Here is a 26,024-nt window from a genome sequence, read left to right on the forward strand (position 1 = left end):
CTATAGGGACGGCTCTGAGCTGTGCTTCTGCAGGCAGCTGAACTTGGCAGGCACAAGCAAGCCCTGCAAAGACACGCTCAAAACAATCCAGAGTACAGACAGCTGCTGGCGTGAAGAAGCTGTGAGTACTGACAGCACTTGGGGTTGTGAGCCTGCCACTTAACTCTACAGCCTACTGCCTCTGCCTCTTGTGGTTAGATTTCTGTCTTCCAGATGATTAACTCTTTGAGACATGGTCTTACCAACAGTGGTAACACAGGCAGGGAGTGTCTTTGAAAAACAACTGGCCAGGGAGTCAGGGGTCTAGGTCTATACCAGGCATTAAATACTGTATGTATTAGCATGAACAGGGGTGTCTGCTTGACACTGTGGTACAAGCTCCACACCACCAATCCCTCATACAGCCCAAGAAGATAGAAACAGTTACGATCCCATTTTCCAGAGAAGAGAACAGAATCAGGCCCTGCACACACAGTCTGCAACTATTTGGGGGCACATGTGGACTCTCAACCATCTTCCGGTCGACAGCAGTTCAGTGTCAACTGGAAGACAGGCTGCTCTAAGGCAACGATGTCTTCTGGCCAATTTTGGGCTGAAATTGAAGTATTAGGTAGAGCCAATTGTTCCTATTATTAAAAATAAAACCCTGGGAGAAAAGATTGAAAAACGAATATTTTTTAGTGAGGAATTAATAGATATTTGTATTCACAAACTGAGTACTTAAATGCAGTTTAAAATGAAGGGACTGGCCAGTTGTGGTGGCTCATACCTGTAATCCCGGCACTCTGGGACACCAAGGCGGGAGGATCACCTGAGGCCAGAAGTTCAAGACCAGCCTGGCCAACATGGTGAAACCCCGTCTCTACTAAAAATACAAAAATTAGCCTGGCATGGTGACGTGTGCCTGTAGTCCCAGCAACTCAGGAGGTTGAGGCAGGAGAATTGCTTGAACCTGGGAGGCAGATGTTGCAGTGAGCTGAGATCATGCCACTGCACTCCAGCCTGGGCGACAGAGCGAGGCTCCATCTCAGGAAAAAAAAAAAAAAAAAAAAGGAAGGGATTGTATCTATATGCAAGAAAATATACAGTTCAAAAACATATTGTTTACTGGAAACAAATTGCAAAACAATTCATGCAGTGTATTATTCAGCCAAAATTTTACAACTACAAAGCAATACCATCTATTATCTGATATATAAAATCTGTAATGAGCTAATAAAAACATGGACCGGAATAGTATATATCAAATTACTGACAGTGGTCATCGCTGGAGAGAAAGAAGCAAGACTAGGATGGAGAGGAGGAACAAAATGGTTTTCAATTTTAACTGTGAGATATACTATCTGAAGCCTAAGTGACAAAAAGTGAACATTTTAAATATGAGCAGGGGATATGTGTATCATATTATTCTTCTGCTTTTTCTGAATTAGAAAAAAATAGGAGGGTCTTTCCCGGGGGCATCTTCATTGTGCCATCCTGCTCATGTGATGGGAAGAAATTCATCCCTGGCGTTATTGCTCCTAGGAACATCCTGTGGGAGATGAAAGTATGTGTGCTGTTTTGAAATTAAAAGCAAAGCAGGAAAAGTCAAGAGTCCTCTTTTTCAGAGAGAAAAACTTGCAGAACCTGTGGAGTTGTTACCCCCATACTGTTGACAATCCTCACTCTTCCCTTCCCTTCTCAGCCAGAAAGCAGCCTTTATTATTTATTATTTTTATTTTTTGTACAGGGCTCCCAGCCAGCCTCAAGGGTCTATGTATGCTAGTGTGATTGCTGTGTTTTTCTAACCACTTCAAAGGTCATGTTCACTTATCTGTGAAAACAAGTTCTCATTCCTTGCACCCTATTTGCCTTCATGTCTCAGGAAATAGGGACGGGCAAATCACTTGCCAGGTGGGAAGAAAATAAAGGAATGTTGTACACACACCCTACTCTGAAGACCAGAGCGGAAAGGGAACCTATCTGTGTATCCCAAGGGGGCTGTGAGCAGGAGAGAAAGACAGAAATACAGCAGAGAGATGTGACTTACATGTCCTAATCTCCCCACTCCCGAGGTGAACCCCAAGATCAGAAGGAGGCATAGTGAACATTTCCAACTAGATATGGAAGGAACCTGAGAATATTTGGAGGAGGAGACCAGCGACACTGTTTCCCAAACACAGCTTAGGGGAGACTGGGAGCATCTTGGAAGAGCCCCACACAGAGCCATGTTCAGCATGGCCTGAGTGAGGGCGGAAACTTTAGCGGTGGAGCAGGAAAGTGACCAGCTAGGCAAGCCTCCAGCAGCACTGCTTGCACTCCATGGCCTGCCCGGGCTGAACAGTGGACCTAAGAATTCATAAGTGCTCCAGAGAGGGACAAGGAGGGACTAAGAGGGCCCTGAGTTAAGAAAAAGACATCACATTGCCCCCAAATGCCACTGGGGACCAGTGGTGCAGAGTGAATCAATCGGTGACTGTGATACACAGTTTAGTTTGTCCTCTGTCATAAGAATAAATATCAGATATCATAATCAGGGAAAGCACAAAGAAGAGAGAGCTTTTGAGAGCTGTTTACCTAGAATTTAAATTCTTCATGTTCACTTTAGTACCTCTTTAAATGCTCAATTCCTGCGAAAACATGTATTGTAACCCAGTGCTATCACTCTAAAAGCTGTGGTAGAAGGTGTGGAGTTTTAAGTATGGAAGAGGGTATGTGCTAAATAGAAAAGGTAAATAGAAAGCTTTTTAAAAATCTGGGTAAATGCACACACATATCCACATGCAGGATGCACAAATGAACCCTATGAGGGCTCTGACACTAAGAAACTGGCAGTACCTGGACTACAGATTCAGCAGGAACAAGTCCACAAACTGAGCAGGCAGTTAATGAGCTTAGCACCCATCATCCCTGGCTCAGAGTATGGCCCTGGAATTCTTTGTTGCAATAAAATATAAAATAGAACCTGAAAAGAAGCTTGGCTATGAGCAAGTAAGGCTTCCTTCATTTGCCTGGTCCCACAGGCTCTCTGTTGCAGTGGCGGCAAACCCACCCAGATGGGTTGTGCTCTGCAACTTCAAGCAGCCCTATCACCAGTGAGGGTGGTGGCAATGCTCCAGGCCCCTTGGGGCAGGGGAGGTAAGACAGCATGCCATCTGATGCTGCCCCCCTTGCTGACCTGGGCAGCGGGCACATTCCTCAGTTCCCTCTGACCCATGGGCTGTCCTGAACTGAACTCTGCTCAGCTCCATCCCCTCTGCTCGCCTGCTCCCTGCAGAGTGAGCCCGCCCCTTGCTGGCTAGGCTTTCCCTGCCTTATTTGGTTTAAATTACTTTTTTGAACTTTGGTCTCATTATTTTTGGACCATCATTTGGTCTGGAAGATTTTCTTTCCACGGGTTCCTTCTGTTCTTCCTTTTCACCCTCTTGAATGTGCTTCCCAAGGCCTCTTTTTGCAGTTTCTTTTGGGTGGTTTTTATTACCTTCATGCATCTAATCTGAGTAGGGAGAAGCTCCAAGATCATTGTTATCTTCCCGCTTGGAATCCTGCTTGTTTGGTTGTTATGGGAGCTCCTCCATTTAAAGGGCTGGGGAACTCTGCTTCTCCAGGAGCTCGTGACCCAGCTCCCAGAATGGCCTTTTCCAACACAACATGAGAAACCAGCTTCAGCGGCAACCCTGCAGGGCCACAACCCATCCTCACTCTCGGAAACAAACCCATAGATCTGGGGCCGCCCCTCTAGGCACACACCTAAAGATACCATGGCACTATTTCTTTCTCTCCTCTTATAGCAAGAGTTTGATTTTGTAGTTGAACTGGTTTGGATGGTTCAGGCTGCAAGTAACAGAATATATCTCAACTGGCTTGAGCAATTAAGAAAACATTATCTCCTATAACAAAAGTCTATGGGTAGGACAATTCTGAGGCTGGTGAATTCAAAGCTCACAGACATCAACAAGGCCCTGGTTCTTTCTGTCCTCCTGCTCTAGCACCCTCATGTATGGGCTCGTCCTTGGGTTAGCTAATCTACTGGTGAAACGTGACTACCATAGTCTTACCCATTGCTATGGTCTGAGTGTTCGTGTCCCCCGCAAGTTTCTATGTCGAAACCTAACCACTAATGTGATCATATTAAAAGGTGGGGCCTTTGGGAAGTGATTTGGTCATGAGGGTGGAGCCTTCATGGTTGGGATTAGTGCCTTTAAAAAAGAGGTCCCAGAGACCTGTCTTGCCCCTTCCACCATGTGAGGACACAGTGAGAAGCACCATCTATGAACTGGGAAGCAGGCTCTCACCAGACATTGAATCTGCCAGTGCCGTGATCGTGGACTTCCTAGATTCCAGAACTGTGAGAAATAAATTTCTGTTTTTTATAAGCTTCTTAGTTTATGGTATTTTGTTATAGAAGCCCAAAAGACCAAGACACCCAGACACCACAACATCCAACAGAAAAGAGAGCTCATCTATTCGCACATGAATACACCTTTCATGGAAACCCTTCCATGGGATAAGGCCTTCTCTCACATCTTATTGCCCGTGCCCAAACCAATTCCTATCAAGAAGAACAGGACCACTATTGACTCGGATCAACCATAAATAAAGTTCTGGAGTTGAAGAGGGGCTCCATCTTTCCAGAAGTTCATAACTTCACAGAGGAAGGCAAAGGCCTGAACCCATCAGTAGGCCTTTTAAAAGAGAGGAAAGGGGGAGTGTGTTGATAGGTAGACTCACAGCTCTGTCTGCTACCCTGTAAGAGAAAATCCAGATTTCTGCCACAAAGTTTCTGTTCCTGTATTTCTGATTCACCCTACTTCTCTCCAGTAACTCTGATGTTTTTTGTTTTCTAATGTCTCTATATTTTTTATGTCTCCTGAGGAGGCAGAATATTATAACAATTAAGTACTTGAATTTAGAGTTAATTAATCCTGGATTTGAGGCCTAGCTCTACCATTTACTAGCTGGGAGCTTTTTCAAGTTACCTTATCTCTCTGGATTTTTGTTTTCTCACTCAGAATAGCAAATAATAATAGCAACCACTTATATAGAGATTACTATATACCAATCAGTCTCCTAAGTCTTTGCATATATCAACAGATTTAAGCTGCACAACAACGCAGTGAGATAAATACTCCTACTCCCCACTTTTAAAATGAGAGAGGCTGGGTGCAGTAGCTCATGTCTATAATCCTAGCACTTCAAGAGATCGGGGTGGGAGAATCCCTTGAGCCCAGGAGTTCAAGACCAGCCTGGGCAATGTAGCGAGACCCAGTCTCTACAAAAAACAAAAAACTTAGCCAGGAGTGGTGGTGCACACCTGTGGTTCCAGCTACATGGGAGGCTGAGACAGGAGGACTGCTTGAACACCGGAGGTTGAGGCTGTAGTGAGCCATGTTAGTGCCACTGCACTCCAGCCTGGGTTAAAGAGCATGACCTAGTCTCAAAATAATAAATAAATAAACCAAGGCACAGAGAAGTTAAGTAAGCTGCCATAATCACACAGCTTGTGAGGAGCAATGCTGTGATCTAACACTATAGAGTCTATGACCCCAATCACTTCATCATACTGCCTCTTTCCCCCGCCCCCCACCCCACCACCCAGGAGTTTAAGAGTGGAGATTTAATAGGCAGAAGAAAGAGAAAGGAAAACAGCTCTCTATCTAGTGTGAGAGAGAGGACTTCTGAGAGGAAAGGCCCTCATACTGTCTCTTAATGAAATACAAAGGCAATCAAAACAGTGCTCATAGGCTGAAGATTATTAAGAAGATAACACAGGTCAAACATTTAGCAGAGAGGCTTGAACACAGCATATACTCTAAATATTAGGTAAGAAATTCTACACAATCACTTCACATGTATACAAGTCAGCCTGGCATATAGTGAGAGAATTAAACACCCCCTTTCTGGTCCTCCTTGGGCCAAACTTCTCTCAGTTTCACAACTTGTTCTAGAACCTAGCCCGTGGTTTACTTACAAAGTATTCCTTTTACTTTCTTAGCTATTAATAGAACAAAGCAAAACCTCTGTGAGTACAAAATTATGTGATCCAGAGCCTCAGCCTGTGTCTACCTGATTGTGACCTAGAGAGTCCTGTCCAAATAATTCTCCAGATCTAAAGAAATCCCCCATTGCCATAAACTCATACTGGTCCTAATTCTGTTTCCGCAGCCATATAGTTCTACTTCTCATTTTATTCTCCTTCAAAAATTGTGAAGTATTTCTAATACAGGATATAAAAAATTCTAGAGAACAACTTAAAGCACACACATGTGCCACAACCAAAATTTTGAAAAATATTAATGTTATCATATATGTTTCAGGCCTTTTAAAAATAAATTAAACACTAAAATACAACTGAAGCCCCATCCCCTCATTTTCTTCCCCTTTTTGGTAACCCCACACATAAAGATATGTATCCCACTTCCATGAGTTTTTATATTTTTAGTACATTTTTATACAAAAACATTTATTATTGTTTTGTGTACCTGGTAACTTTAAAAATAAATGATGCCATACTGTTTATAAGATTCTGCTCCTTGCTTTTTAGTAAATCAATGTTTATTTTCACTTCTTTTGTGTTTTCTACTTTTATGCTTCTTTTTTAAATCTTTTTTTTTCTCCTTCCCTGTCTTGTGTTGGATTAATAGGGCTTTAGCTATTCTCTCCACATCAACGCCTTTTCACCAATCAGCTTCTGACTTACACGTTACATTGTATTTCTTTCCTTCTTTCTTTCTTTTTTTTTTTTTTGAGACGGAGTCTTACTCTGTCGCCCAGGCTGGAGTGCAGTGGCGCTGTCGCCCAGGCTGGAGTGCAGTGGCGCAATCTTGGCTCACTGCAAACTCCACCTCCTGGGTTCACACCATTCTCCTGCCTCAGCCTCCCAAGTAGCTGGGACTACAGGCGCCCAACACCATGCCTGGCTAATTTTTTTGTATTTTTTTTTTTTTTTTTAGTAGAGACAGGGTTTCACTGTGTTAGCCAGGATGGTCTCAATCTCCTGATCTCATGATCCACCTGCCTTGGCCTCCCAAAGTGCTGGGATTACAGGTGTGAGCCACCATGCCCGGCCTGTATTTCTTATATTTTAATGGTTACCGATAAATTGTTAAATATACATATATATACAGTCTTGCATCACTTAACAACAGGAATATGTTTGAGAAATGTCTCATCAGGCAATTCTGTCATTGTGCAAACATCGTAGAGTGTACTTATACAACCCTAGATGGTATAGCTGATTACACATCTAGGCTATATGGTATAGCCCATTGCTGCTAGGCTACAAACCTGTACAGCATGTTTTGGTAATGAATACTGTAGAAAATTGTAAGTATTTGTGTATCTAAACATATTTAAATATAGAAAAGGTATGGTAAAAATATGGTATTATAATCTTCTGGGACCACCATCATATATGTGGTCCATCATTGACCAAAATACTGTGCAGTGCCTGACCTCACAGAAATTTTTGCTAAGTTCTAAGTTTATTCATAATTTCTAGAATCCTCTTAAACAAAACAGAAATCTTAGTATGTTTTAACTAGTTTATTGAGCACTCCCTACCACCAACATTCTTTGATGCTATTGTCTAGACTTTTGGCCCCATTTTTTAATACAAAATTTATTTTTATGTAGTTAATAGTTAATGCACTTTTACTGAACTACTTTACAAATTTTTCTCTCTTGCTCCCAATTGTTCTCTCTGATTTCTCTTTTCTCTTTCTTGAACTAAATGCAAGGGTCTGGGAGCAGTAAATTTTCTTAGTCTTTTTGTAACTTAATGTATCCTTATTTTGCCCTCACAATTGATTAATTTAGCTGGGATGAAATTCTAGGTTGACTTTTTTCTTACTGCTATGAAGATATCAACTCATCTGCAATGGGGGTCTAATCTAGCTGAAGATCATTCTTTTGTGAATATAATCATTAATCCTTTGTGAGTAAGCTGTCTTTTCCTTCTGGTAGCTTCTAATATGCATTTATTTTTATTATTCATGTTCTACAGTTTCACTACAGTGTAAATAGATGTGGTTTTATTTTCATTTGTTCTGTTTGCATTTTATATGAACTTTCACCAAAAGATTCACGACTTCAATTCTGGAAACTTACATCATTCTCTATTTCTTTTCCCTGGAACTCCTAATCAGATGCATACTGGAGTCTCTCAATCCATTTCTATTCCCCTTAACTTCCCATACAAACATTAATATGTTTGTATGCATATATATGTATAATTTTTCTTTTTGTCTATATTTTGTTTATATTTCTGAGTTCTATTTTCCCATTGTAATAGATTATCCAGAGAAACAGAACCAATATGGTGTGTATATATATAGAGAGAGATTTGTTATAAGGAATTGTCTGACACAATTATGGAGACTTTCAAGTTTAAATCTGCAGTGTGGGCCAGCAGGCTTGAGATGCAGGACAGCTGATGGTGCAGATGAAGTCCTATTAAGTGATCTGCTGGAGAATCTCCTCTTACTTGAGAGAAGATTGGCTTTTGTTCTATTCAGTCCTACTCATCTGATTTGAAGAGACCTGCTCATGTTATGGAGGGCAATCTGCTTTACTCTGCCAATTGAAATGTTAAATTCACCCAAAAATATCCACACAGAAACACCCAGAATAATGTCTGACCAAATATCTGGGCAACCCATAGCCCAGTCAAATTGCCACATAAAATTAATTATCACTGCCACTTAAATACTCTCTTTTTATTGTTTGCTCTAAACTCTACTTCAGAATTTATTCCATTTATTATTTTTTAAAATAGCAATTTTTTAGTACACAATTTACTATTGTTACTATATTCTCTTATATAGGTTTAATTTTTGCTTTTTTGTTTCATCATTTCTTATTTTATCTTTTAATTTTTTATTATACTTTATCTCTTTGACAATCCTAAAGACTTCATTTTAAATCATTTTCAAATTGTCCTATCATTTTCATTTCATCTGACGTGAATTTATTTTCCCACATTTTATTTTGTTAAGTGCTTGTCTTATGGTTAATATTCCTCACGTGTCTCGGATTTTGGTTTTGTGGTTCATGTTCTATGAGTCCACTTCAGGTTATATATGGGCAGTTTGGGATTTCTATCTTGGTGTGATATTAGGAATATCAGATTTAATCTCTGTATCAGTCCATTTTCACACTGCTGATAAAGACATACCTGAGACTGGGTAATTTATAGAGAAAAAGAGGTTTAATGGACTCACAGTTCCCCGTGGCTGGGCAGGCCTCACAATTATGGTGAAAGATGAAGGAAGAACAAAGGGACTTCTTACATGGCAGCCGGTAAGAGAGAAATGAGAACCAAGCAAAAAGGGATTCCCATTATAAAACCACCAGATCTCCTCAAACTTATTCACTAGCACTAACAATATGGGGGAACCACACCCAAGATTCAATTATCTCCCTCCAGGTCCCTTGTGCAACATGTGGGAATTATGGGAGCTACAATTCAAGATGAGATTTGGGTGGGGAAACAGAGAAACCATATCAGTCTCTAAGCTAGCCGGTGCCTTGACCCAGGCCTTCCCTCAGGGGCTGTGCTCCACCTTCTTCTGCCTTCCTAGACATGCAGTTTTATGTAAGCCATAGATTCATGTTGCAGCATTTTTCCCCAGCCTCTTCATGACTTGACAGCAAAAGCAGAAATATGGGGATTTCTATACCCAATTTTAAACTAACAGAATTGCATATGCAGCTTCCTCTGCCTACTTTTTTGACCCGTGGCCCCACAGGGCTGGAGATTCAACTACATTGACATGGCTTGTATTTTACCGATCACTGTGATGGGTCAAAAGCAGAGTAAAGGCCTCAAAACGTGAAGTGATAACATGGTTTTGACTAAAGTTCTCCCATTTCTATTCTCCCTCTATTGTTACAGCTTCTCTAATGGTTCTCTTTGTATTCCTGGCATTCTCTGGAGGCTTCTGATAAAAACAGGGTCTTTAATTGCCCCCCTTTTCCAGTCAGGTCCCCAATAAGAAACAGATGTTGTACTCAAAGGGGGTAATTGAGGAGAGTTTACTAAAGGGACTGCTTGCAAAGATGTAGTCCAAGCTAAGATAAATTGGAAAGGATTGGTGAAGCTCCCAAGCCAACAACAACAGGCCTAGTAGAGAACTATCACTGTGCTATAGGAGAGAGCTGCCTGGCAGGAGTGCCAGCCTTTGATAGAGGAACATGGTCCACTACTGAACCTTAACTTGGTAAAGACAGAGACCAAGGAGTAAATACTCCCAACTCCTTCTCCTGCCCTTTGTTCCTCTGCTTCCCATGGGCCAAACTCAACAGGAAATCAGACTGCAAGGGACCCCTTAACATAGTCAAGAAAGGTCAGCCTCTCAGGGCACAGAGTAGGGCAAGGAGTGGATCTGGATGTGGTAAAGAAAGAACACACAGAATACAGAATAGCCCAAGACTACATTTCTCAGGTCACTTCCATCTTCACATTACAGAAATAAATCATCTTCCTTTTCCACTTCCCCCTCTTTAGCTAATGCCTTTTTTACTTTTTTTTTTTTTTAATTTCATAGGTCATTTCTTGAAAGAGTTGTCTAAAGGCACTGTCTGCACTTTATTCTTATTTGCTACTCAACCTCCTGTTGTTCAGTTTCTGACTTTATAGCCCCCTGAAATTTCTCTCCAGGAAGTTACTGATTTCTTGCTGAATTATAAACCCAATCCAAACTTTTGGATGCTTATCAACTGCATTGAGGCACTCCTTGCCTAAAGTCTCCTCCCCTCTTGATCTCTGTGTGACCACTTTCTCTCAGTTCCCCTCCTTTGAAACTGCAAAGGCAGCATGTAAGAGGAGCAACTACCTGGGCTGAATTAAGACCTGAAGGCCCCAAGGGAATGAGGCTAGTGATAGCCAGAGGTGTGGTGCAGGGTTCAGGGTGGGGAGCATGTCCTAACAGAGGAAACCACAGATGTGGTATCCATTGCTTCTTATTTGCCATCAGTGACTGCATGGTTGACCACCAAACTCTATAGGGTCACTCTGAAGAATAGAAAAAGCTGAAGTGGTCTAGAAGAAATTAGATTTTCTATAGGAAAGACATAAAGAAAACTTGGCAGAGGTATCTGTTTTTAAAAATACATAAATCTCGGCCTCGACCAACACTTATTTGATGTGACCCTTTCACCCAAGACCATTTCTTCATCCCACTAGAACCTCAGTTCTCAGCACTGAGCAATATCAGCTGACAGCCTTTCATCCAGCAGGACAACAGAACTGTGGGACCCCAGCAGAGACAAGGCTGTCAGTGAGGCCTGTCCTGGTGGGCTGTCATCCCACGTGGAGAGGTGAGAAAAGTAGGGTGGAAGAGGAAACGATGCTGAAGACTGAGGAGGCAGGTGGAATTCAAAGTTGGTCTTTTTTTTTCTTTTCCAAATTAAAGAGATGTTTTCTCTGCCACAGCTTCTGGGCCCTGATACAGCAATAAGTCAAACACCAGCATTCATCCCCTTGCAAATGGGAACCACCTCCCCACCTTGGAGCACAGACAGATTGTAGTTGAGACGCCCAGTGGAAAAAGCTGAGTATGGCTGGGCAGCCTCACACAGGCCTTTGCCTCTAGATCCCCTTGAGCTCCCTTCCCAAGAGTCCTTGACAAATATGCAGGGCTAAGAGGCTGTCCAAGGAATGCAGCCGTCTCAGCCATTCATTACCAAGGCTCAAAACCACAGGGGCAGGAAGAGCAGACAGAGCTGGGTAGGATCCGTCTCCGGTGAGGTTTGGAAATGGGAGATACCCCTGACTGGGCAGGCTGAATTGATGTGGTCTGGCCTAGGGGCAAGGGGATGGACAGAATGACCATCACCACTCTCAGCCAGCCTGGTGGGTCTATGAAAAGAGATGTTTGATTCATTCTCGGGCTCTACCCAAGTGACTCTGAAATATTCCTAGACGGTTGCCAGGACAGTCAATAGTGGGTGAAACAAAGACCCAGAAGCCAAAATTCTGGGCTTCCAAGCTGCTTCCTTCAATCTTCTTTAAGTGTTTTCCTTTATGTTTGTTCCTTTATGGCTTGTTCCCCTTCTCTGATAAACTGTAAGACCCCTGAGGTCAGAGGTGCTTTCCTCTCCTGCCCACTCCTTCCCCTTCTGCTTTCTTTCTCCTGCAAACCTGTGCTAGGACACCTTAAAAAGAAGGATTCCTGATGGACTCAAGATGATTTATCTAATTTGCAACTGGTCAGCCACAGGGCTATGGAGAGGGTGAGCAGGATTGGGGCTGGCAAGAATGATAAGAAGGAACAAACCTGGAACCATGATTACTCATTCATGGTCTTCCAGTTTACACTCTACTGTGATGACCATGAAAGAGAAAAAGAATTAGTAAAAAAGAAAAAAATACATAGACAGACTGCCCTCCCAGACACAGAAAAATTATTTTCTTACCCATAAGAAAATTCCATCAAACATGAAGATTAAATAGGGACCTAAAATCTGATACCTACCAGTATCTGGACACACCTGGATCCTGTGGAGGTGGCTCTGGGCAGACAGACAAGTTGGAGGGGCAGATGGAATTAGTCAAGTAGGGAAAGTCAGAGTGAATAAGTCAGGAAAGCCCTCCCACAGGAAGAATTTTGAGTAAGGATTTGTGAATGAGAAATCCAGAATAAAAAGAGGCAGGTATAGTTCTCTACAGAGAACTACGGCCAGCAGGGGATATTCACATGAGAGCTGGGCATGCAGACCAGGACCAGGAAACATTCTAGGAGAGCCCAAACATAAGGGGAAGTGGGCACATAGTGAAATGGGGCTGGGGGAGTGAGGTGATGGAGAGACGCTGTCCTAAAAGCTCAAGCTGAGGAGACTGGATTGAGTACAAGGGGACATTGGGAGCCAAGTCAGAGATCCATCCCAGCATCTCTGGAGGTCTGTAAGAAGCTGTGGTCTCTCTCTTCTCTCAAGGAGAATTGCAGGAGCTCTGATGCCTCAGAATTTCCCATGCAGGCAGACCAAGGGGAGAAGGAGAGATGCTTTCTCCAAAGAGCTCAAGAGGAGTCAGGAGAAGGTGAGATTAGCAGCCAGCAGGAAAAGGCATGGACCTCTGGTAAAGCCTTTAGAGATATCTTCCTTTCTCCTGCGGTGGGTGGGGGGAGGTTGTGATGGATATAAAGAGGCCTGATGGAAAGTCTGGATTTACATCAAGTGTGAGGGGAAGGACTCTGGGAAGGACGGCAGTACAGGAAAGTCAACACGTCACTGGCCTTCATTGTATTGGCCACCCAGGACTGAGTTCCGGCATGAGGCTTGTCCATGTTGTTTTTTGTTTGCCCTATACCCACAGCACAGATGGCCCATGGTGTGGAGGAGGCTCATTTCAAATCCATCATCAGTCATCTAAAGCGCACTAAAGTTCAACAAATGATTTCAAGTTCATCTTCAGTCAACTTCAGTGGACTTTTAAAATTCAACAAATGATTTTTCAATGTCTATCTCAAGCCAGGCACAGGTTTGTTACTGGAAAGCAACACAAGATGTTAACAGAATGGATGTTTCTGTCCTAGAAGAAATGTCTGCATTCTACAAAGAAAAATGGCAGCCAGGCACCATGGCTCATGCCTGTAATCCCAACAGTTTAGGAGGCAAAGTCAGGAGGATCATTTTAAGGCCAGGAGTTCAAGACCATCCTGGGCAACATAGCAAAACCTGACTTCTACAAAAAAAATGTAAAACATAGCCAGGCATGGTGGCTTGCACCTGTCATCCCAGCTACTCAGGAGGCTGAAGCAGGACGATTGCTTAAGCCCAGGAGTTGGAGGTTACCATGAGCTATGATTGCACCACTGCACTCCAGCCTAAAGCTAGGCAACAGAGTGAGACTCTGTCTTTAAAAAAATAATAATAATTTTTTAAAAAAGGAAAAATGGAAACTAAACAAGTAAACAAACCGGCATAATCATTTAGTTGCTGCTAAATACTCTGAAGAAGATAAAATATCCAGGCCAGTTCAGGCATGGTGGCTCACGCCTGTAATCCCAGCACTTTGGGAGGCCAAGGATGGTGGATCACAAGGTCAGGAGTTCGAGACCATCCTGGCCAACATGGTGAAACCCCATCTCTACTAAAAATACAAAAATTAGCTGGGCATGGTGGCGGGCGCCTGTAGTCCTAGCTACTCAGGAGGCTGAGGCAGCAGAATCGCTTGAAACCAGGAGGCAGAGGTTGCAATGAGCCGAGATGGCGCCACTGCACTCCAGCCTGGCAACAGAACTAGATTCCATCTGAAAAAAAAAAAAAAAAATCCAGGCCAAAGAGGGAAGGAAGTGGCATGCTAGAGAGTGACTGGCAGTGCCAGGAGGTGAGCAAAGGCCCCTAGGAGGACTGGATGTCAGTGCTGGGACAAGAATGGCAGCAAGGGGCAGCCCAGGGGAGAGGTAGGGGGAGCGCCCCCCCAGCAGAAGGGAGAAGCACGCTCAATGACCAAATCTGCCGCTGGTGTTTCAGGAAAGGGGTCCTGATCCAGACCCCAAGAAAGGGTTCCTGGATCTCAAGGAAGAAAGAATTCAGGGCAAGTCCATACAGTAAAGGGAAAGCAAGTTTAAGTAAGTAGAAGAATCAAAGAATGGCTACTCCATACACAGAGCAGCCCTGAAGGCTGCTAGCTGCCATTTTATGGTTATTTATTGATTATATGCTAAACAGAAGGTGGATTATTCTTGCCTCCCATTTTTAGACCATATAGGGTGACTTCCTGACGTTGCCATGGCATCTGTGAAGTGTCATGGTGCTGGTGGGAGTGTAGCAATGAGGATGACCAGCGGTCACTCTCGTCACCATATTGATTTTAGTGGGTTTTAGCCAGCTCCTTTACTGCAGCCTGTTTTATTTATTTATTTATGACCCGTATTTTGTGCCGACCTCCTATATATCCTGTGACTTAGAATGCCTAACCCTCTGGCAATGCAGCCCAGTGGGTCTTAGCCTTATTTTACCCAGTTCCTATTTAAGATGGAGTTGCTGTGGTTCAAATGCCTCTAACACTGGGGCTTATAAAAAGAAAATTAGTAAGATATTCAATGTTCGGAGTGAGGGCTGTGGATAAAATGTCACACCCACAGACAGAAGAGAGGAAAGAAAAGTAAGCTATTGAATGTTTAAGTGGGACTTAACAGAGGCCAAGATAGAGAGAGAGAGAGACAAAAAGAAATGGGCAGCGGGAGAGCAGCATGTCTCCTATGTGTGTGTGTCTGTGTGTCTGTGTGTGTGTGTGTGTCTGTGTGTCTGTGTGCGTGTGTGTGTGCATGCATGCAACTCTCATAGTTAATTGGCTTGTGCCCATGGAGTCGGTAAGAGTGCGGCCACTAAGCTCACGCCTGAACACTGCTATAGGGGGCTGGGCAGAGGCTGAATCTGTCTCCAGGAAAGTAATTTACAGGAGTGGAGAGAAAAGCTCTGTGAGCCAGCGCCTGGGGCCTCTCCACTCTCTGGGACAGATCGCTGCCTGTATTTTCAGGGTCTGTCTTCCCACAAGATGGTCAAAGCCTCAGGCACAGGGTGCTCAGTACGTCTACAACAGCCACATCAAGCAAAAGCACAGATTTTCTTTGCACCCTCAACCTTTATTATTGTTTCAAGTCAAGGAAATAGGGAGATGGCTGACACTGAACACTGGACTAATTTCCAAGATTTGTGGGTTCCAGGCCTGGCTGTCCCACTAACTCCCATATTACTTTCCCTCTGTGGGTTTTACTTTCCCTATATAAAAATTAGGAGACTGGATGCTGATTTCTAAGATTTTCCAGCTCTGATAGCTTCATAAATATAGGAAGTTCATAATAAGAAGAGATACATGGGAACTCTAAGCAGCTACAGCATAGCAACATCAAAAATCAAATGGACCAGGGAGATGAGATATATTGGTTCAGAAAGTATCTGGCTGCAAGTAGCAGAAAAAGTAACGAAGAATGGCTTAAGCTAAAAGGGTGTTATTTTCTCTTAGAATAACAACTGAATAGGTATAACCTCGAGTCTATGCTAGGTAGGAAGGAAGTGAAGTTTGGTTAGGGGTGATGGGTATTCAGCTAATGCACTTGGCGGATAAGAAAAACATGATGACTTCAGAGGCATCTGGCAAGCAAGGGAGAGAGGGCCAAAGAAGACCAGTGTGGTCTGTGCAGGGATTCAGTGGTTACCATATCAGAGGAAAAGTTTTGGGAGACAAAATCACCTGCAGGTGGCCTTGAGACAGGGTTGCTAAAGTGCAATGAGGAAAAAGAGGAAACCAATCTCATCTGGACTTTGTTCCTTTCTTAGCATCCCTTAGAGATCACAAACTCTTATTTTTATTTTATTTTAGTTTATTTTTGGGAGAGATGAGGTCCCGCTATGCTGACCAGGCTGGTCTCCAATTCCTGGCCTCAAGCAATCCTCCTGCCTCGGCCTCCCAAAGTGCTGGGATTATGGGTGTTCCAAGCCAACCACAAACTCAGTCATCCCCACTCCACCCTCTTCTGCCTTTCCCGACAGATACATCTAGAACATTAATAGAAGAGGTAGCAGAGGTGAGAACACATCAGCACAGATACCAATACCAGCCTGCCCTGAGTGGACAGTAACCGGCCTGCAAATGGCAAAGCTAGGAAGGAAAGGAGGCTGGTGGCATTGCAAGTCTGTACCTCAAAAGAGGAGGCATTGGGGTGGCAACATTGCCAATGGGCTAGATAGAAGTAAGAGTGAGAGCCAGAAGAATCTACCCCACTGTCTGCCAGGTATACCACAGAAGCCAAGCAAACTGCTTCTTTCCTGGGGAGGGTCTCTGTGCTCCAAGAACCATGCTCATCCTAGCAACAGGAAGCTCTTTAGTGCCAGCCTGTTGCAATAGACTTCAATGGCTATTTCTCCTGTTAATGCCTTTTCTGTTTTGCTCTCTCAAGATCTTAACTGCAACTGCCCCTATTACTCCAACTGAGATTACAATTTTTGAGAAACCTGCAAACAGGACAGCTTTAGAGTGTACCCCAAATACAAGGACACAGAATCAAATTCCATGAACCCCTATAAATCATGAATCCACTGGAATGGAAGCCCCATGGGGGCTAGACTTTGCTGTTTGCTCACTGATGATTCTTGAGTGATAAGAACCAGGCCTGGCACATAGTAGGTACCTTCTATGTGTGTTGAATAAGAGCAGCTGTGTCAGAGAGCTGCTCCAGCACTGCACCCAGTAACATCCCTCCCTGCCAGTAATCAATCATCTTGCCAAAGACCAGGTCCTTTGACTCTTCCTTGCCTCTGGTGAAGTTTCTGTGCACCTGAGGTTAGGAAGTGAGCTCTCTTCCTCTTCACAGCCTGGCGTCCTAGGTTCCTTGCCTCTCATAGAACTCGTTCCTATTTCTCACGAGGTCTTAACACTCAGACACCCAGCTTGCCAGCATTCAAACATGATGCTTTCCTCTGCGGCCTGGAAGACAACCATACTTGCCTTCTCGGGGTCAAAACAGCCTCAGAGCCTCCCAGAAGCCAGCTCTTGGGTTTCTGTCCCGCCCCCTCCCCTCTGCCACTTGCTAGGAGTTTCCACAAATGCTATGGCCATGACTCATTTGATGAGGCACAAAGGGGTCAACAGGTGGAGGGAGCAAAGAGTCCCAGGCTGCCAGAGACTGGACAGCTCAGGAGGAAGCAAAGTCTAGGCAAACAATCACTCTTGTTTCCCCACTGCCCCACCAGCCCACCCATTCCTCATGGTAACAAAGTGGATCTGAGGTGAAACATCTGTTTTGCTTTGAGCAGATTTCATTTGTCTTTTCTTTTTCTCCTTTGTTTTAACCTCTCTCTGCCACTAGGAAGCTTGCCAGATCAACCTCACTTAATCTATCTCCTCAGGGACAGTCAGCCTTCTAGAGGGACATTTTCCAGTTGACAGACTTTAAGGGATGATTTGTCCCTTTTCCTCCCTTGGACTACCATGTATCTGAACTGAGATCAGAGCATTAAACAATGTCTGCCCATTTCATTCACCCAACAGTTTTCTATTGAGAGGGAAGTACAAGCCCAACACTGTGCTAGTTGCTGCAGACACAATGATCAGAAAGACAGACATGGTCCTTTGGAAGCTTGCACTTGTATTCCAGTGCAGGAGACAGAAAAAGGAGCAAACCAATAAATAAATAAGTCACCACAACTTGTGATACATGCTTAAGAGGTTAATAACCAGGGTGTTTGGAAAGCTAATCATGGGGGCAGAGTCACAGAAGGTCATAGAAGATCAAGAACTTCATTTCATGGAGACGACATTTAAATGGAGAGGACGACATTTAAACTGAGGATGACAAAGAGATAGCTATGGAAAGAAATGACTGAAGAGGATTTTGAGAAAAAAAAAAGAGTAATGACTATAAGGGACAGAAAAGAGCTTAATGTTTTGTTATAGAATTCTCAGAATTGTATAACAAAATTTGTATAAAAACTCTACTGACTTAAAACAGAGCTTAGTGAGGCAGAAGATAGTAGCACAATGAGATCAGAAAGGAGAACAGAGGCTAGTGTGGCAAACCTTGCAGCCCGGAAGGAAGCTTAGATTTTATTCAAGGTGCGCTGGGAAGAACGTCACTAAAGAACTCTGAAGAAGGTCATGGGTTCCCTGAGAGAAATCCCTGGGGGCCTTACTAGAGTGACGCAGACTCACCCCTGCCTCATCCCCCAACTTTTGTCCTCACCTCCTCCCCCCATGCCCAGTCCCAGCAACCGGGGGGTGGGTGGGCTAAGATCATGTTTAATTATTTCACAGATTCTTCCCTCCTCTGATAGGGGCCATGAAAAGACATACAGTTCAAATCAGTCCATTTGGCAACCTCTGAGCAACTGGAAATTTTGGTCAATAGTCAACACTCAGCAAAAATGAGATTTTTGAATTATTGGAAGTTTCAATGATCCAGCCTCTACCTGTCTCCCATGACTGTGAATAATCCCAAATTTGTTATAGGACAGCACAGGCTTTCTTCAGCCAGAGGATGTTAGCCAGATATTTCTACTCTGGATGGCTACAAAAAATGATATCTAATAACTGCCCAGACTTCTTGTGGTTGGAGACTCATGATACACCCAGATGTGCAGAGAAATTGTGCTTCTTTAAATTTTTATAATGGATATGACACTCCCCAGATCAGTGCTTTTAGATAAAATGTTCAATGAATTCTCAGACTTCATTGCTCTCCCACCCTTTCTTTTCCCAATATGGTTTCTGGGCATAGGGGAATGGCTTCTTGTGTCCTAAAAGCAGTGAGGAGAGAAGAGGCCCTTGCATCCACAGGTGCCCTCTGGATTCTTGGTGATCAATGCTGTAGAGTGGGACCATTTAGGAAGATGGTTCTATACTGGCCAATCTCTTGACATTGGCTATGGAGGGCCTTGGATGACGCAACTCAATTGTCTAATTTCTCTTTTGGTTTGGCCGCAGCCCAGTAGCCCTAGCTGGTGGACCTGGCCCACCTTGGCTCCTGCTTTCATTATGGATGGTGCTGAGAGCTGGCTGGGACTTCCTGTGGTTCTAGTCCAGGTGAACCATTCCATACCTACAAGGCCTCTGTAGCCCTGCTCCAGAAACCCAGTCCCACTGCCCTCAGTGAGCTCATTTTTAGCATCTCAACTAGCTTCCCATCCCCAAGTCTAAATCTCGTCCATACCTCCCAGGACCCAGGACAGCTTGAGAGAACAAATCCTTTGTTCTTTCTCTTCCAAATAATGGGGACTCAATCAATTTTACTTTGATGTGGCCACTGCCAGGTTGGTGCTTTCCAGGTGAGCCTCTCCAAGAGGTGGGGAGATGTTTCCTAGTCTTCAAATTTTATTAAATCTAGATATTTTGGATCTTTCTTAAGTGATTGCTCTCACCTGTCATTCCATGTCCTACTCATCGTCTTCCTTTTCCTTTTCCCCTTTCCTCATTTCTTTTCCCACAACCCCTTGAAGAACAAGCCTGGGTGGCCAGCCTTTGGGCTGGTAATTTTTCTATGTAATACATTCCTTCTTCCCGAGTTATCCATCTTAGTGATAATACAAGACTGTATATTTATGTTCCTCCCCTTTTTGTCATAATCTGTGGCATAATTCTGAATAATTAATGGAATCTAAAAGGAGCATCTACTTGATCTTGATCTTTGAAGCATTTTCTTTTAGGTGGCAACATATAACCTCTATTCTTTCTCTCTAGATCCAAATACACTATCAGGTTTGGAGTAAATAGAACTTTGCAAATACTGTTTATTGGTTTTCAATATTCATATAAATGTTCAAAAAGTTAAAAAGACCTTATGGTTACAAAATGGCATGTAAATATTATAAACTTGTAAATTTCAAAAGGATGGGATGCTTGACGAATACTGGAAGGTGAGTGGGTCAGAGAAAAGAATGAGGGAAGTGATTGGACACTGACTTTATTCAGAAATAATGGAAAAACAAAAATATTTTCTAAATTTTTCAGTGTATAGTGCTTTTAATATATTATTTAATGTAATAAACACATTTAATGGAGGGAATACTGGTAATAGGATAAATTTCTCAACTATAATACTATCAAAAGATGTGATTGAAGTATTAAAAGATGCTATTAAACAATTTTTAATGGAGGTAAAAACATGATATTTACATTTTTGGAGACAACCAACAGAAGGTCTAAAACTAGAAATCACTCTATGTTTTCCTCTGAGGAGTGAGGCTGTACAAAGAGAATCATTTTACTTTTCACTTTATACATTTCTAAGCAAGGATTTATTTCCCCATGAGAAAGCCCTTGTGGGGAAGGCCATATTTGACATGGGTGTCAAGGACTGAAGAGTGTTTCATAGGAGACAGGAGGTGGGGTTTGGGAGGTGGTGCAGGGAGGAAGCCTCAGACACAACAGTCCAGTTTTGAAGACTGCCTGCATAGTGGTGGCAGGAGCAGGGAGGAAACAGATTGGGCACAGGAGCTGCCAATCTCAGAACTGATTCTTGGGGCACATTCTGACGAGACAGACCCTACAAAGAGGCTCAGCCGGTTAGGCATGGCCCTGCCAAGATGCCCTGTTACCTGGAAATAAGACAGAGCAGTGTGAGAAGGGTGCAGATAGAAATCAGTATTCAGGTGTAAGACAGCTCTCCATCCCAGCCCCATGATGAGGAAGAACCCGGGCCATGGCTGTGGGTTGGGAGTTGCAGGCAGGGACACCAAGAAATCCATCCAAGCAAAATGACCTCAGAGATCAAATGAAACAAATATAAACAAAATTCCAATCTAATAATCTGGATCCCAAAGAGTATAACCTAAGCACTCCATGGATCCTCAGCACTCAATCTTAGGTATAGAAAGGAGGAGGAGGAGCAAAGGAAATTTCAGAAAAGACATATCAGAGCTTGGAGGAAAAGACATCAAAGGCCAAGAAAACAGCAAAAGCAAAGGCACAAAGAAGGGGATAGCACCAAAATGAAGGAGCTGATTAGCAGTGTAAACATGAGTAAAGTCCTAGGAGAACAAAGACCATTGTGAGAAAAGCTATTAAATCCTAGGGCTCATAAGAATTCTAATTTCTTCTCTACAATAGTACTATTCACCCCCTTTTTTCTTCCTCAAATCCCATAAGGAATAAGGCAGATGCCAAAGGAGACACATCCTGGTGGTGATTCGATGATTATTAATAAAGGGAGGGAGGGGCTATTAGAATAGGGAGGGAAAGAGCACAATCCGAAGTCTTCCCCAGTTGACTCTGAAGCACTTTCTCCATGCCTATAATCACTGCTCTAAGAGCAGCAATACTATACTCTGCTCACATGACCTCTGGGCAGTTTACTCTCTCAAGTCTATGTTGGGCATGTTAGGTCCACAGTGGTTGAGATTAGTTGTGTCCTAGCTAAGACCTCTTTGCAAGTTGTTTCACCATCAAAATTATGTTTCAACTATTTTCATTCCTCCCTATCTCAAATCTCCTAACCACCCAAAGAAACTCACACAAATCCAAACCACTTTGCACGACTCAACATGCAAATATTTCCATGAACTGAGACAGAGAAAGAGGTAAGTCTATATGTGTTAGCCGCCTTTCTTTCCCTACTGTGCCCAAAGCACTTGTTTTCACTTGCTCAGTGAGACTCAAAAGACTAGGTGGCCATTCTTTTTCTCTCTGCAGATTAGAAATCTTACTTTTAGCAAGGTTTTGATTCTGTTAAAATTTCATTTCAAGAAATCATTTAGAAGAACCCTGTGGTTTGTTGTAAAATTTGCTTGCGCAGAAAACTGAAATTTTTGGTTAACTAGTATCAGGAATAGAGAGGTTCAGCTCTTTAAACACTATCAGTGACACTCAATGATCAGCCCAAACTAGTGGTCTTGTAATGCCTACTTGTTTGTAAACCTGCAAACCTGTGCTGCTGGTTTCGGGGAGACAAAAAGAAAGAATAAACCGTGGCCTGGCCCCCAGCAAGTTATACACAGGGACTCGAGCAAGGATTGTTTTTGTAATTTACTGCAATTGAAACATGGAAACAACCTGAAAATTCAGCAATAGGGAACAAGTTAAATAAAAATTAAAATATAATTTAAGTATAATTAAATGTATATATAATTTTAAAATACAATTAAAAGTGTAATCATTATAAGACTGAAATACCTAAAACTATGCTGATAACAAATAATCTCCAAAATATATGGCTCAATAAAAAAGGAAGCTAAGATATAAAACAGTAAATATAGTACGCTACCACTTGTGCACAAGAGAACTTATATTCGTTCCCTCATCCTCACCCCCACACACTCTCTGTGTCTCTATGTCTCTGTACATATTTATGTTGTCACAGAATAGCCCTGGAAGGATTCTCACTACACACACACACACACACACACACACACACACACACACACAATATTGGTTATCTCATTCAATAACTTTCAGAGTTTTAATTAATTAAATAGAAAATACATTCCCATGGTTCAAAAATCAAAAGGAATGGAATATATATATATATATATATATATATATGTATATATGTGTATATATATATATGTATATACATATATATATATACATATATATATAAACATCTCCATCTCCTGTTCATAGCTTCCAACCAGCATCCCTCCAAGGAGGCAACCAATGTGACCAGTTTCTTGTGTATCCTTCTAGAGATATTTGATTCATTTCTCTGTGTGTGTGTGTGTGTGTGTGTGTGTGTGTGTGTGTGTCTGATATGGTTTGGCTGTGTCCCACCTAAATCTCATCTTGAATTGTAGTTCCCATAATCCCCATGTGTCATGGAAAGGACCAGGTGAGAGGTAATTGAATCACGGGGGCGGTTACCCTCCTGCTGTTCTCATGATAGTGAGTGAGTTCTCACATAATTGGATGGTTTCATAAGGGGCTTCTCCACCTCCTTTGCTCTCATTCTTCTTCTTCCTGCTGCCATGTGAAGAAGGACATGTTTGCCTCCCCTTCCACCATGATTGTAAGTTTCCTGAGGCCTCCCAAGCCCTATGGAATTGTGTATCAATTAAACCTCCTTCCTTTATAAATTACACAGTCTAGGGTATGTCTTTATTAGCAGCATGAGAACAAACTAATACAATACTTTTTGTACCTTTTTTAAACCATGGGCATGTGTTGACTCTGTTATTTATTTATTCTTTCTATTAAAGTCTAGATAATTTTAAAATGACCCATGGGAAGCAGACATGCAGAGAACAATGGCATGTTAGAAGACCTTGAGGAACTCAGATGCTTTCGTGAGTTGAAGCACCAGGAAAGGCCCCAGAGAGAAGATAAGGTAGACCTTATCACACCTTATCAAGTGTGTCTATGCAGAGCAAGACCTGGCAAGAGTGTCTATGCAGAGAAAAACCTGGAGATCAAGCTGCTCAATAGAAGAAGTGTCTAAGATGAACTAAGAATCTGGCATTTGAGTGCTAGGTATTTAAGACCAGACACAGCTTTCAGTGTCATTTCTGTGAGGGAAAGACCCTAGATTCAAGGCGAGGCCCAGTCAGCACCTTTAGATAATCCTTCACCTGGGCAAACCGAGATAGAGGGGGAGAGTGTGGTTAGCATTAATGCTCAGGACTAAACTGTTTATGAAGCTATGTAACCAAATCCCACAATTTTCAGAATTACCGTTGTTGGTTTGGGATTTTATAAGAGTTCCAACCCTTTTTATGACTTTTTCTCCAGCCTCTTTCTTATTCTCCTTTTGCTTTTGGTTTCACAGCATACTTTGGCCTGCTCCCCTTCTCTTTGATTTGAGCCAATTCATTGTTTCTCAGGAGAAACTGACTAAGAAGCAATTGCTCTTTGGACACAAATTATTTTCATGGGGTGGTCTCACTTAATATCAAGTTCTCTCCAGCTTCTAAAGGAAAGAGAGAAATACCACTCAGGTCCCCACTTTGAGTGAGACCAGGAAGAGAGTCAGAGTTCTGAGAAACTTCAGAAATCCATGCTGTCTCAGAATGGAGGACCATGATCCACCTTCCAGGCCCTCATAGGTCATTCCCAGTCCAGAGATGTCAGGAGCATCTGCCTTCCATGGTGAGGAAGGGATCCCTTTGATTCCTTTATGTCAGGCCACATGTAAGGAAGAGGGGAGTCACTATCTATTTTAGTGCCAAATATCTGGCAGCAGTTGGATCAGGGTTAACCCTTCTCTTCCAGTACAGACATAGCTATTCCCTGAGCCTGCTGCAGTGTCCAAACCACCCCCAACCCTCATTCCATTGGAAGAAAACACTGAAGACCAGCAACAACCAGTTACATGACCGGCAATTCTTGTAAAGAAAAGTCACAAAGCCATCATCAGACATTTGCAACTGAACTTCTAGAAAGCAAACTCACCCTTTGAGCCAAACTCAAACTTATATTTAAGTTCCAGCACTCACATCTAATGGACTGACATCTTGGCTTTGTCAAGATGTCAGTCCATTAGATGTGAGGGCTGAAACTCAAATATAGGGGGAGGTGGTGACAAGATGTGAGAGAGACATTAGAGCAGACCTATAGAGAAGAGCCACAAACTGAACTGGAACAGACCTCAGGAATTACCTAGCTCAACCCCATGATTTTACATTCAAGGAAACTGATTCCCAGGACTACCAATGTAATTGCAAAGCTAATTACTGATGGGAACAGGTAAATTCACTTTCGTACCAGGGCTTATTCCATGGGATTGATTCATGGAAGCATGCCACTTAAGAACTGAAGTGTGCAGGAATGAAGGTCTGAGATAAGAGTCAAGAATTTCAGAAGAATTGAAGGTACTTACACCTGTTACAAAAGATAAGGCAAAAAAGTCAGGTGTTCCAGTTATTGGTGTGTGACACACCACTCCAAAACTTAGCAGCTTTAAAATAAGAACAACATTTCTTTTGCTTGTGCATCTGAAATGTGCACAGATCTCTGTGGGGACAGGCCTTTTCTTCTTCACTCAGCATCAGCTGGGGCAGCTGAAAGGCTGGGATCACCTGAAGACTTGTTCACTTGCATGTCTAGCTGTTGATGCTGGAACACAAGATGGAGCTGTGGCCGGAGCCCTGCATGTGTCATCTTCTTGTGCTACTTGGAACATGGTGTCTGGGTTCCCAGTGGGGTGTCCTGAGAGAAAGGCAGGCACAAGCCAAATAGTTTTTACGACCTAGCCCTGAAAGTCACACAGCATAACATATGCCACATTTTATGTGTCACGGCAGTCACAAAGCCTGGCCCATCTTCAAGGGGAGGGAAATTAGGCTCCAACTTTTGATGGAGGAATGCCAAATAATTTGCAGGCGCATTATAAAACCACTACAGTAGGCTACTTTTCAAAGCTAATTTAGGGGCTTCTTCCCAACTCATTACTGGGCCAGCCCTGAGTCAAGATGTAAATGTAGGGGCTTCCTTGGGCCAACAAAAACTCCACAATGGTGGAATATCATTTCTCATTATCCTGGCTTCTGGAATTCCTGAATCATCCAGCTCACCCCAGATTCTGTAGCTTAAGACTTAGGAATCTCAAGAATAGAATACAGAAAGTGAGTCAGCTCATTTTCCAGGTTCCTAAAGCCGAGAATTAAATTAAGTCCAT

General features: G+C 42.8%; 1 long non-coding RNA gene across 12 annotated transcripts in view; it reads right to left on the minus strand.

Annotated features, from left to right (window-relative positions):
* The window catches only part of DIRC3 (disrupted in renal carcinoma 3), a 506,425-nt gene that overhangs the window by 150,273 nt on the left and 330,128 nt on the right, over nt 1-26,024 (minus strand). The window lies entirely within an intron of this gene.

The sequence above is a fragment of the Homo sapiens genome, chromosome 2 (genome assembly GCF_000001405.40).
Source record: "Homo sapiens chromosome 2, GRCh38.p14 Primary Assembly".
Taxonomy (NCBI): domain Eukaryota; kingdom Metazoa; phylum Chordata; class Mammalia; order Primates; family Hominidae; genus Homo; species Homo sapiens.